The 13,540-nt window shown below is 39.8% G+C and overlaps 1 protein-coding gene across 1 annotated transcript in view; it reads right to left on the bottom strand.

Moving 5' to 3' along the window:
- The window catches only part of RBM33 (RNA binding motif protein 33), a 136,820-nt gene that overhangs the window by 71,040 nt on the left and 52,240 nt on the right, over positions 1 to 13,540 (bottom strand). The window contains exons 6-7 of the mRNA NM_053043.3: positions 9,497 to 9,668; positions 3,373 to 3,581 (exon numbers count right to left, since the gene is read on the bottom strand). Coding sequence (NP_444271.2) covers positions 3,373 to 3,581; positions 9,497 to 9,668 — 381 coding nt within the window. The remainder of the gene's footprint in view (positions 1 to 3,372; positions 3,582 to 9,496; positions 9,669 to 13,540) is intronic.

The raw sequence follows: 13,540 nt of genomic DNA, 5'->3' as shown, positions 1-13,540 counted from the left end.
CGTGGACTAAATCTTCCCCACATTTTAAGTTCCTACTATACGGTCAGTAGAGAAAGTCAGCTGACCTAGCTCCCCACAATCCTATAAACTAGGTCCTATTTACTGACCTCCTTTTACAAGATCAAGTAGCTGGAAAGGAGAAAAGCCGGAACTGGAATTCAGGCCATCTGATTCCACAGGTTTTGCTTTTAATCACTAACCAAACTGACGACACAGCTAATTAGCAGTAGACCACTACTTATTCAGTTGTCTAATTTAACAAGCATTTTCCCTGAGATGATGCCAAATTACGGAGGGCTTCTAAATTCCAAGTAAATGATCCATTACTATGCCACAGAGACAACACGTATAATAAGGGATCACGAATGATCTCTTTGGTAGGAAAATGATCATTCACAGCAGTGTGAGATGAACGAGGGTAAAGAAGACGGAAGGAGACCATCTAATAGGGAATGGTGAGAGATGAATCAATGGAAAAGCCATAGTCTGACAAAGAGCAAGAAGACATCTCAGAGGAACAATGAGTAGAATTCTAAAACTAATCTGTGAATGGCTTTGGCCCACCTATCCTTCCTCACAGAAGACGTTTCAAAAGATTCTGGTACCAGCTCACATCCACTAGCACACATGCTCCCAGAATGCAGTATGTTTCCCCCTCCTTAACTCATCACATCTGTGCACATTTGCCCATGAGAGTAGGGATCTTGTCTATCTTACTCACCATTGTATCCCACAGACAGCACACTAACAGACACAGGGACACCCAAGTTAAATTTTAATTGAACTGAGAGTGACCACAATGCATGGTCATTAATTCAAGACCACAGAGTTCTGAGGGAAAGATCATGTTTGTTTGATTAAACAAGTGACATTCAGGGCCTGTGAAACATGTGTCTGGAGAGGTACAGGGACAGTTGGGAGATGGAGAAAATGGAGCTGGAAAGAGGTTAGGCTAGAGACTAAGACTCACTGAGAAACAGTAGGTGACAGCAAGAGGAACAGTGCTGGGGAGACCACTGAGGAAAAGGAGGACGAGAACAAAACCTGAAGAAAAATGCAGTTAAAGAAAAGGCATTTCAAAACTGTTCAAAGAGATTTTCAATGCTCAATACCAAAAACCAGGAAGTATTTAAGGGGATGCCAATGTTAATTAGCTTTTTATAATCCATCCACAACATATACATACTGTAACAGTGCACTGTACCTCATAAACATATGCAATATATTTATGCATATATTATGTTTAATTTGGAAATAAAAAGGAAGTTTAATAAAAGTTTAATTTGAAAATAAAAAGGAAGGTCAAAAGGGAGAAAGAAGAAATCATTCTAGAAGATAAGAGAGTACATCCAAAATCTCGTAAGCCCAAAAAAGAGCTGCTCAAGACAAAGAGACCGTGTGATGCCCAAGGCCCCAGAGTGCGGTCCAACAGGACAAGGGGTCAGGTGGCATCTCTTGAGGGCACCATTCAGGACAGGGAACAGAACGGAATCCAGGCAGGAAAGAGCCAACCAAGGAGAAAATGGGTACAAGCAGAGACATGAGCCAAAAATATTCTTTCCAAAACTTTGGGGGTCAAGACTCAAAGAGACAAAATAGCTCTGGGATGGGGAGTGAATAGGATGGAGAAAGCTTATGATGTAACAGAACGCAGTTGGAGCGGAGGATACCACAGTCCTGATCTCATCACTGATTAGCAAAGACGAGACTATTGCTTACAAAGCTGTGTCAGTCTTAGGGCAGCTGTCTAGTTTACTCCTAGTACACAGTAGGCTCTAACAGTCCAAATCAGTCACATTACAATCCAGAGATACAACGTCACCATCAGGATTGAGGACAACTGAATATCCATGACATTTCTAAAAGCATTCACGCCATCTCAGTTCAGCCTCTCTAAGGAGGCAGGTGAGAGATACGTGCTCTTCCCTTCTTTGTGGGTAAGAAAACAGAGCTCAACAACTTTTCCAGGATCAGAGACACAATTACGTAAACACTGGCCTCGTATGAGAGTTGTTTGGCCCCGAAAGAGGCCAAAATAATCAAAATGGCTATTCAACATATGGCCAGTGGAGGTTTGCGGCGGAGACAGGGAGCAACGAAGGGAAAAAAGACAAACTGTAAATCCAGCCTTTCTGCTGTTAGAGATGCTCAAAAACAAAACAGCTGTATAAGCAAACAGCAGTTCCTCGTATCATCAAATTGTGTATGCCTACCTACTCCTCTCCCTTTACATATCAGAGTTGGAATTCTCATGCTAAAACAAAAATTATCTCTTCTACTTTGTTATTTCACAAATGAATGGCTCCTGAAATATAATATTTCAACAGAAGTGAAATGTCGTTTTCTCTAAATTCAGATAAAAATGTAAAAACGGCATGTGGTAGACACAGTGGACACATATTTGTATTAAGTAAATTTTTCCTTGAAGACTGACTTCTAAGTAAAAAGCCATACAATCCCTAAAACTTAAATGAAAGAATAGGTTGGGCCCAGTGGCTCACGCCCGTAATCCCAGCACTCTGGGAGGCTGAGGCAGATGGATCACTTGAGGTCAGGAGTTCGAGACCACCCTGGCCAACATGGTGAAACCCAGTCTCTACTAAAAATATTTTTAAAATTAACTGGGTGTGGTGGTAAGTGCCTGTAATCCCAGCTACTAAAGAGATTGAGGCAGGAGAATCGCTTGAACCCAGGAGGTGTAGGTTGCAGTAAGCCAAGATCATGCCACTGCACTCCAGCCTGGGCAACAGAGGGGAGACTCTGTATCAAAAACAAAAAAAGAACAAAAAAATCAATAATTTCTGTCTTTGTTTCTGAGATGTGCCATCTCTGAAATACAAACGAAATTCTAATTGAAATTACAGGTACATGATTTATTCCTAAACTACAGACTATGAAAGCTTTGTATGGAGGACATGTTAATAATTCTGAGAAACTGCCATTTAAGGAAAAAATCTATGGTAAACAGTAAAAAGGTAAAGATATTTTTATAAAATAAACAACTTCTGCCTAAATTCTATCTGTAATAACATCTCTCAAATGTAATGCACTCAGAAATACCTCTCTAGAGGCTTTAGGTAGCAAGGTCCAACAGCTTATGTCATCTTAGGGCATCAGGTCGCTCATTAATTCCTCCTCTGGAAGTATCTGTGGTACAGGATGATTTCTTACTACCAGATGACTGGAGTGCTGAATTTCTAAGACTATATGCAACATCACATGAGACTATAAAGCAGAAACTTCAGCCATTACCCCTGCTACTAACCTTTCATTTCAGACTAAGAAGAGAGAAATGTATACTAGGATACCCACAAAAGCTTACTGCCATTTGTTCTGAAGTTCTAGGGCTACTACAAGAAAATCTGAAGTTACCACGACAGGAGGCTGTGTAGGAAGCAGCGCAGGTCTGTGGTCCTTCATCCTGCCCCTCTCGGTGCTCTCTCTCCTCTGGTCCCCCACACCACGACACATCAGCGGACCTCCTCGCCGTCCTCCCCGCCTGGAGCTGTAGCGTCCTTGTTTATGCTGTCGCTCCCTTTCTTCAAATTCAAGCAATGCTGCCTTGGCCTCTGCTGAAAGCTCTATGTGAAAAAATGTGTATGTGTTAGTTACTTTCCGAGAGCCCAAACTGGAGGTCTAGGGAGAGAACAGGAAAGAATGATGTGACAATGAAACTCTGCCACAGCATGTGCTTCACCCGCAGGAAACACCCAACTAGCAGCGGCAAGTACGATACAACCAGCAACACACACAACCCACTAGTGAGATCTGATAAATAAGAACAGGCTTTCCGTTATGACACAATGCAAGTGTTAACAGTAAATTTTAAATTATTTTCATCGGAGACCACTGATATGTGCTGACTGAGGCTAAAAAGCAGCTGAAGTGAAACGTAGCCACTGCCCTCACACGACAAGGCATTTTGCAGTCCCATCCTTTTTCCCCCCGAGACAGAGTCTCACTTTGTTGCCCTGGCTAGAGCACAGTGGCGTGATCTCTGCTCGCTGCAACCTCCACCTCCCAGGTTCAAGCAATTCTCCTGCCTCAGCCTCCCAAGTAGCTGGGACTACACAGGTGCACACCGCCACGCCGGCTGATTTTTTTGCATTTTAATAGAGACGGGGTTTCACCATGTTGCCCAGGCTGGTCCCGAACTCCCGAGTTCAGGCAATCCATCCGCCTCAGCCTCCCAAAGTGCTAGGATTACAGGCGTGAGCCACCGCGCCCAGCCTGCAGTCACACCTTTTACTGATGGTGCATGACATCAGTCAGAAGTTCTACCAGTCCTACAGCAGTATGATTTTCTTACTGAAGCCAGTAGAGCTATTAATAGCATACGATGGCACATAGACGCAAGAACACAAATTCCCGATCATTCTCACTTAAAAACAAAACTATTAATGAACTCATTCCGAAGTCAAGGTGATTTCATAAAGAATAAAAAGCTCAATTTAATACATATCATTTCAATTTTTTGTATTTATTTTCTTAAAACTTTACTGTGAAGCCTTCTCATATGCATGCAGACTGACAGAGAAGCCAAATCAAATGAGAGCAAAGTCACATGAGAAAACACTCATGCAAACACGTGTGGAGTGTCCAGCAGCTGCTCACTGCTCTGCCCAATGCTTTAGGGATACAGAAAACATGGGCACTGGCCCTAAGAAACTTCAGATGCCACATTCTTCTAGGTTCCTAAAGGGAAACGAAAATGATTTAGCCACATATGGTCCTTTTACAACACTAGCTAAATTGGGACAACAGATCTTACACCACATTTTCTAAAAATGTCACTGAGTACATTATACCAAGACACCTTCTCCTGCCTTCTTCCCCAGCCAAGGGTACGCTTTCAATATTACCAGAGTCTACCTTCTACCTTGGATCCCATCATCATCTCCAAACTCCTCCAAAATCTCTAAGTCACATTTTTCTTGAAATTGTTTATATGGTACCCCTCTCTCCTTCAAATAAAACTAGACCCCATTTGAAAGAAAATTTAATCTCTTCTTAACCAGCATAGACTTTTATTCTAATCTTGACTACATGATTAGTTCACACACACATTTTACGCAGTGAATCAGCAATTATTTTTCTAGTGGTTCTGAGTGTCAAGATTAATTTCACTATCCTCAGTAATAAAATGGTTTCAAATGACATCTTTAATCAGCAAGTAAAAATGCTTTCCTCCAATTGAGACAAGCTGTCACAAAAGGTCACCAAAATATGACAGGATGGAAATTACATTTGTAACTTCAACTGAAATGTTAATTTCCCTTTAAGTGTTTTCTGAACTATGTCCAGATTCTAAAGAGATACATACCTCAATGTAACAAAGTTTACACTGCACTGTCCCTTTCTAAAATGTTAAGAAAAATATATTTGCATGCAAATAATTTTATAATAGTTGAAATACATATAGAATACACAATTTGTTTGGCAAAATAAAAATAACAAATGACAGTCTGACTTTTTTTTAAAAGACAACTGAATCAAGAAAATTTTAAAGGCCCTGCAAATATAAGGACCATTAAGTATAAACCCTTGAACAGTGAGCTATTGCTGGCATTAGCAATTCTGAATTGTTTGTTACTACCGAGAAATCTCTTTCCCACAGATCCTCTGAAATTAATGATATTATTTCAAGAGAATATTCTGTGGGTGTACAAGCAGGTTCTTTAGGCTACAGCAATAAAAAAGAACATGTAACACGTGCCAATGAAACTCGGAATAAAATAATCTGGAAGCCTACTCACAGATAATGAATTAAAAATAAATGCAGTCTTTCTAACTAAAATAAATGCAGTCTTTCATTTATGGCTTACATTGCTTTCTAAGGCAATCCAAGGGCCACCTCCTAGACGAAAAGAGAGCTCTCAACTTGCAGGACTGGCAATTGGGGGACACTGGTCAGTGACACCATCTTCAGAAATGGCGACTGGCATTTTCACAGTGAACCATTCCTTACACATGCCTACTCTGTAGCCCGGCTCAACTGAGCTCCAGGAGGGAGTTCAGCACTTACACCCTACAACATCCTCTGTATGTAATGAATTAATTTATTTCCTAGGTATGTAGTTCTGTATCGTCCTTGGGAAAACCGAGAACACTGTCACTCAAATCTTTTTCTGTAAGGTTTAATTTCCACAATCCTGATAGAGCAAAAAAAGCTAGTCAATTAAGATCTTAACCTAGATGAAAGCCCAGAATTCTACTTCTAATCCAACCTGCATTCAAAATACCAATCAACAACTGTGCATAAAACTGTTCCTTAACTGCTGAGGCTGTCATATATATGAATGTTTTTCACAGAGATGTGAATGTGAAAAAAGACTAAAAGTAACCAAAACTCCCTCCTAGATTGGAAGAGAACTCGTTTCACATGTAAACTTTTAGAGTCAGAAATTGGGGATACCAGTGCATCATTTGATTCTCCCTCTTAAAGAATGAAGTGTTCTCAACACTAACAATATCAGCGAAAACAAAAAAAAAAGTACACCTCATATAAGACAACAGGTACTCTGGTGGCAAGATATTTTAATCCCATTACAGAGTAGGCAAACAGCTTTACACAATCAAATAATTATTTCTACACAGAACCTGAGACTGTTCAGGTTTTTTTATTTTGATCTCTAGGAGCACACAAATAAACTGATGTGTAAAAATGTATTCAAATGTCTAGTTTACCAAATACTGAGGCATTATCTCTTTTTCAATATATATTTCCTCAGATGTAAAATTCATCTTTTGTTTGGGGGGAGGTACTGAAGGTAACAAGAGAATTCACTGTTTTAGGAAACCAATCTTTTGACGGACAGAAAAATCCTCCTTTGTGTTGGGAAAAATCCTAACTTTACAGTTATCTGAAACTCATGTTTCCAAGCACCAAGCTTTCTTAAGTAATACGGAACAGAAAAAGGTACTTTTAACTATGGTTTCACCTGCCCTATCATCTTGCCAAACAACCACATTCTACAAAAATCCAGTTAAGTGCTTTTTTATTGTTTCTGAGAATGGTCACTAGTCAAGCTGTATATGTTTATAGCTACTCTGCCTCTAAGGGTCTCATACTCTTCCCCCATAATTCCAAGGAGAGGACTTGCCCACCACAAACCAACCTTTCCAGCTTCTTGTCCCAGAATTACATGAACACAAAGTTTCCAGATGCCTTAAAAAGCAAAACAGATTTAATACAAGTTATTTAAATACACGAAATTGTCAATGACCTTGGAAAGAAAAAAATGAGGGAAAAGTCCTGAGAAGAAGGAGATGCAGGACTGAAACAGACACTAAGCACACATGCAAGCTGGCCATCACTGCAGAACAAGGATGTTACTAGTGGTTGGGTGGAGGGACAATGAACAGGGATGAGATAACGCAGCTGGAAACCAGGGAGGTGGGAAAGGCAGAGAGGCACCACAAATCAGGGCAGGGTGGTACAGAAGAGGAAAGACGAGCCATGAAATCCACAGCCAGCCCACAGGGAGCAGACTACAGAGTTGGGGAAAGCCCCCATTTGTAATGTTGTCTAGCAAGTGAATTAATAGTCTTAGAACTTGTAGCTACCTGGGGAGTTCTCAGTGACTATGCTTTTATACATCATGTTTTAAATGTATGTAATCAAAGCCACAGCCCAGATAACAAGACCCAACAAAAGAAGCAGTAGTGATGACTAATCCTTCTCTTCCTCCATCCCTCCCCAGTTCAGGAAGCTTTATGCCTTCCAGGTGGTGGCTGTGGGTTGCCCTTAGAATTCCTTAGTATTCTGCCAGGTATGGAGAGCTTTCCTTTGTCCATCTCATCTCAAGCCAAGACTGACATGTCTCTGCTCAAGTAGACTGTTCTGTGATATTACCAATTCCTCCTGTTGATGTATTTTGTTTATTTTCATCCTTCTGTTTTAAGACCTTCGCTCCATCTTTCACCTAAGGCCAATGCCAGACTCTATTTCTTAGAAATTAAAGATGCTTCTAAGAAATCTGCTTCAGCTCAACTGGCAACTTCATATCATAACTTGAAAAAAGTCTAGGGAAATCTTGGGCCACAAGATGGAGTAGTAGTAAACTAGACCACAAAGAAAAAGAGAACAAAGATTCTAGAAGAATCTCTCTGAACAATCTTGCCTAGTAAATTAAGATAATATTGGTTGACTACTGCTATCTTGTGCATCTTTGAAGCTTAGTGTCCTCCCACAGAATTCGTATCTGCTACTTAAAGATACAGGCTCATGTTTTGGACAAAAAAAAGACTATGAATAATGGTTTTAAAAAGTAATTAATCATGAAAGGTAAGTCTTGATTCTTATCTAGACCAAGACCAGATGGCAGGCAGAGCCCCTGTGTCCTCCTGCCCTCCTGCCTGCCCTCCTCCTTGGAAGGACAATATCCCAGTGGTTCTGGAAGCACCAGTGCAGGAGCAGCATTGCATGGGAACTCATTAGAAATACAACTTTCTAGGCCAAGAGCGGTGGCTCACGCCTGTAATCCCAGCACTTACGGAGGCTGAGCCGGGTGGATCACTTGGTCAGGAGTTCAAGACCAGCCTGGACAATATGGTGAAACCCCGTCTCTACTAAAAACACAAAAACTAGCCGGGTGTGGTGGCACGCACCTGTAGACCCAGCTACTCGGGAGGCTGAAGCAGAAGACTCAGTTGAACCTGGGAGGCGGTGGTTGCTGTGAGCCAAGATTGTGCCACTGTACTCCAGCTTAGGCAACAAAGCGAGACTCTGTCTCAAAAACAAAACAAAAAAAATACAACTTTTTTGGGCTCTACCCTATATCTAATCAATCAGAGAAGCTGGGAGCAGGTCCCAAAATCTGTGTTTTAACAAGTCCTCTGAGATTCTAACGCTCACTCAAATTTGGAATCACTGCTTTATTCCTTGCAGTGGACATTGAAAAACACTGTATAATGAGGGGTAGGGTCGCTATTAAAAGTCTCCGTGAATCAGCAGCAGTCTGTAGTAGACCTTTCACACAGCAAGCTTTGCTCAGAGTGATTATTTCTATAAACGAGTCAACTTGTCTCATTAAAGTCAGAGGAACTGCAGAAAACACAAAAAAAGATATAGCTATGAAGACACTAAAAGGTACAAAATATAAACCGGTCTTGTCCAGAATTCGCCCTGACAACCTCAGGGTCTTGGGAAGGGTCAACCTGGCCCCATAGCTACCATCCCCATGCCACCTTTTCAAGACCAGCCAGGAACCACAGCATGTACAAGAGCAGCTGTAGGCCACAGACTCAAAAAAAAATTTTTTTTAATTATCTTAAACATTTTATTCAAGCATTTTAAATCCATAAACAGCAATGATTTTAAAGAATGAGTTTTACAGTACCATAAACAGCACTCACTCCAAAGTCCGGCCACTCTCCGGACGGCAGCCGCAATTACCTAGTCAACCTTCTTTGCCTACTTTGATTAATTACAGCAATACTATGGAGGAAGTTGAAATGAGAGTAAAGGAGGATGGGAGACAGGCAAAAAAGTTACCCAAAGTTTCTGGAATGTTCCTTCTCTCTCTAGTTACATCTGAGAGCCTAATAATTGTTCCTTCTTTCCTTTCAGTTTTGAAACGTAATCGTCCAGATTCTTCATCATCTTCTTCTTCTTCATCTGATTCTTCTTTGATGTCCTTTTGAAGTTCCAATGTTTCCATACCTCCCTATATTGCAGATACACAAGGCAAAAAAAGGACAGTAAGTTCATATTCTTTTGAATTAAATATTAAAGAATGCTAAAATATTTAATTGTTTATATTTCAGATGTAAAAAATACTGCAAAATGTCCTGTTAAAAGGCCACATGAAACCCTAAGCTGACTCCAGGAGAAAATAACCTTAAACATTAACAGTTAATGTTCAAAAAAAAAAAAAAAAAAAAAAAAAAAAAGGTCAAATTCTTGCTTGCAATTAATAGACAAAGTCCTACACATCATTGCTGCTTACACGTCTGAAAATAAACAAATTCCAAAAATTCCTGCTGGACTTATTGCTTTGAGTTTAATACAGATCATAGTGAAATTCAATGTATTAATTAAACTAACACTAAAGTTCTATGAGTTTATTGTAACTTAAAGGCTCAACATTTTATAACTCTGACCCCACCTACCTTCCCCTTCACTGCCAGACAAGCAGTCCAAATGTGCCGTTCTACTGATGTAGCCTCCAAAATCCTTTCATCATTTCTCACTCCTTTTTACTTCAATCTCACTGTCTAGAGTTAATTTATCACTATCTTTGACTGAGACTATTGAAAAGGAGAAACTTTTTTTCTTCAGTCATGTCGTCACACTAAAACCAGCTTTTATCTGAAATTTTATTATATCAGTATTCCCTACAAAAATTTTCCCTAACCCCAGCCCAAATTAAAAGTAATTTCTTTGTGGACAATTCTTACTGCCAAGTATCACTCATGTTCCTAGTGAAAGAATCACCTCTCACCTCAGATCAGTCTCTGTGACCCACTCTTAGACATAAAATAAGTACCTACAGAGAGCAAGGTTAATTTAGATACTTTTTATCAATGTAAGGAGAATATATTTGCTCCTTTAGTCTCATGATTTGTAATATGTAAATGTTATTTACTCTTAATAGAAGTAACAGTGAACTTTATTAGAAAATGCACAAGAAAAAAATGAAAACAAACCAATGACACAATCATTTTATATTCTTGCCTTTTTCAGTATTTTCTGTGTAAAAAGACCAACTACAAATGCACACTCTACTATAAATCCTCCCAGTGGAAAAAGATCTTTCGGAGAGCAAATGCCTGAACAGCAGGAGATGACAGTAAACTACAACTTTCACCTTAAGCCTGACAATTACAATACCCCCACTCAGTATGCTGACGTCCAGCATACCGTAGAATTTTAAAGTACCAAAATCTCAGGATTTTTGCTGGTTTGATACCGTTATTTCTGTACTACTGAGTGTTTGAAATCAGAATGGATGCCTGCAAGGTACGTGCTGCACCACACTTCCCAACAGAACCAAAGCCAGCTTCCTTAGGACGTCTATTCTCCGCTCCCATGATGCTCTAGAGCAGCACTTCTCCAATTCAATGCCCAGTCATCAGTGGGAATCATGTTGAAAAGCAGATTCTGACTCAGCCGATTCAGGATGGGGCCTGGGGTTCTGCATTTCTAACAAGCTCCCAGGTGACGCCAACATTTCAGGTCCACAGACTACACTGAGTAGAGTAGCAAGTCCAAAAGGGAGGAAAAGAAATCACTACCAACAAAGCAAAGATTCTACAAAGTCATCTTCAATTCAACTATTAACAACTGTAAGCACAGTTCAAAGACTTTCCAAACAAGTTTAATGTAAAACAAGACAGCACGGAAATTAATATAGCTTATTCTGCATCCAAATCTCCATCTAAGAAATCTAAAGAGGATAAAGATGAGTTGAAAATTGTTTCTTCCTAGATATTTACCCTAGAGAAATGATACCTTATGTTCAAATAGACCTATAGGAAAATGTTTATTCTATTCAGGATCACTACAACTGGAAACACTTAAATGTCCTTCAATGAATGAATGGATAAACTCTTGTACATCCAAACCACAGAATGCTACTTCGCAATAGGTCTATTGACATAACAGGGATAAAACCATAAAGGCATCATTATACTGAGTAAAACAAGTCAATCTCAAAGGGTTATACACTGCAATGATTCCATTTATATGATATTCTCCAAGGAACAAAATTACACTGGTAACCAGTGGTTAGGAAAGAAGGAAAGGTATGGCCACAAAAGGATAGCACAAGGAATATTTTTGAGTGATGGAACCATCCTAGAATGCAAACTTCTGGTCCAAATCTTGGGGCTCAGTTAATCCTTGAACTACATCAAAGATTAGGGAAACTAACCTGACAAACCACCAAACACGGCTGATAGCACTTGCTTAACTGCAGCCCATTTGACAACATCCACTAAGCTAGACTTAATTCTTCAGCCTCTTATTCTAAATATGGGGCTTAAAAAATCCATCCCCCTTCACCATATGGTTTAGAAAACTAACCTGTCTACCAAAACGTTGACCTCCTGTATAATTTTTTTTTTTCCCTGAGATGGAGTCTTGCTCTGTTGCCCAGGCTGGAGTGCAGTGGTGCGATCTCAGCTCACGACAACCTCTGCCTCCCAGGTTCAAGCAATTCTCCTGCTTCAGCCTCCCGAGTAGCTGAGATCACAGGCGTCCACCACCACGCCAGGCTAATTTTTGTATTTTTAGTAGAGACGGGGTATCACCATGTTGGTCAGGCTGGTCTCAAAATCCTGACCTCGTGATCTACCGACCTCGGCCTCCCAGAGTGCTGGGATTACAGGCCTGAGCCACCACGCCTGGCCTTCTGTATAATTTTTAACAAATATTACCTAGCATGCCATTGACAAGCTACATTCCACTGATGGGTAGTGTGCTGCTACAACATAAAAATCAAACTATCCTAAGATTATGTTGTGTAAACATTTAAATGTGCATGTAAATCTTTCATTTCACTATAGACATTGACAAAAATAGTCAAAGGTTTGATTTTTAGTTACTGATTTATTGTGAAAACCTGAAAGATTTATTTTTAATCCTTAATACAGACTGCATATGAAAATCACCATCAAAGTACTTAAAAAAACAGAGAGGTCCACTTAGGCTTTATTTCGTAAATGTAGAAAGAACTGGAAAAGCAAAGAGGGAAAAATACTCAGACTTGTATATATTTTGAAGTTCTCCAGCTAATTCTGAAATGAAAGTATGATCTCAGTGTTCTGAAAGAAAATTCAATATTCTATCCCAAAATCTAAACAGAAACAATGGGTAGTTCTCTGAAACACATACACCACACACACACACACACAAATCTATATATATAGAGAGAGAGAGAGTGCAAAAGAGAAAACATTGCTTACAAAAAGCTCACTAAGTTTTTAATGCTTATTGATAGAATTATTGATACATCATCAAATAAAAATGAAAGTCATTCTACCAACAGTGAAAATTTATGGGTTGGAAAGACTAAGCAAACTGTGCAAAAATTAGAAGAAAAAGAATTACAGACCAGTGTCCTTCATTAATACAGAAACAAAATCTTTTTTAAAAGTAAAAGTACACGGAATCTCACCAAATATAAAAAGGATAATACATCACAACCAAGTGGGGTTTATCCAGAAACATGACGTTAACACTCAAAAATCAGTCAAATCTTACCTGAAGAATTCCAAATCTATGGAGATACTCCTCCTCCTCCTCCTCCAGGAGGTGGGGCTTAAGTTGCTTTCCTCCCCTCTCCCCAGAACCCCATCCCTTAAGGTAGCCTACACTTAGTGACTTGTTTCCAAAGAACTGAATAAGGAAAGAGAAAGCAACATTACAATGAAGAAAACTGGCAGACACTGCTTGACCCAAATGACCAAGGTGGGCATTGCCAGGGGCGTTGTGGATGTCATGCGCCCAGTGGCACAAGGGTTCCATAGTGTTCTTTCCAAAATCCACAACCTCAAGCTAATCATGAAAAAAGCGTCAAACAAACTGAGATTGGGA

Source organism: Homo sapiens, chromosome 7 (genome assembly GCF_000001405.40).
Source record: "Homo sapiens chromosome 7, GRCh38.p14 Primary Assembly".
Classification (NCBI taxonomy): domain Eukaryota; kingdom Metazoa; phylum Chordata; class Mammalia; order Primates; family Hominidae; genus Homo; species Homo sapiens.
Note: the sequence above shows the minus strand (reverse complement) of the source record. Positions and strands in the feature narration are given on the sequence as shown.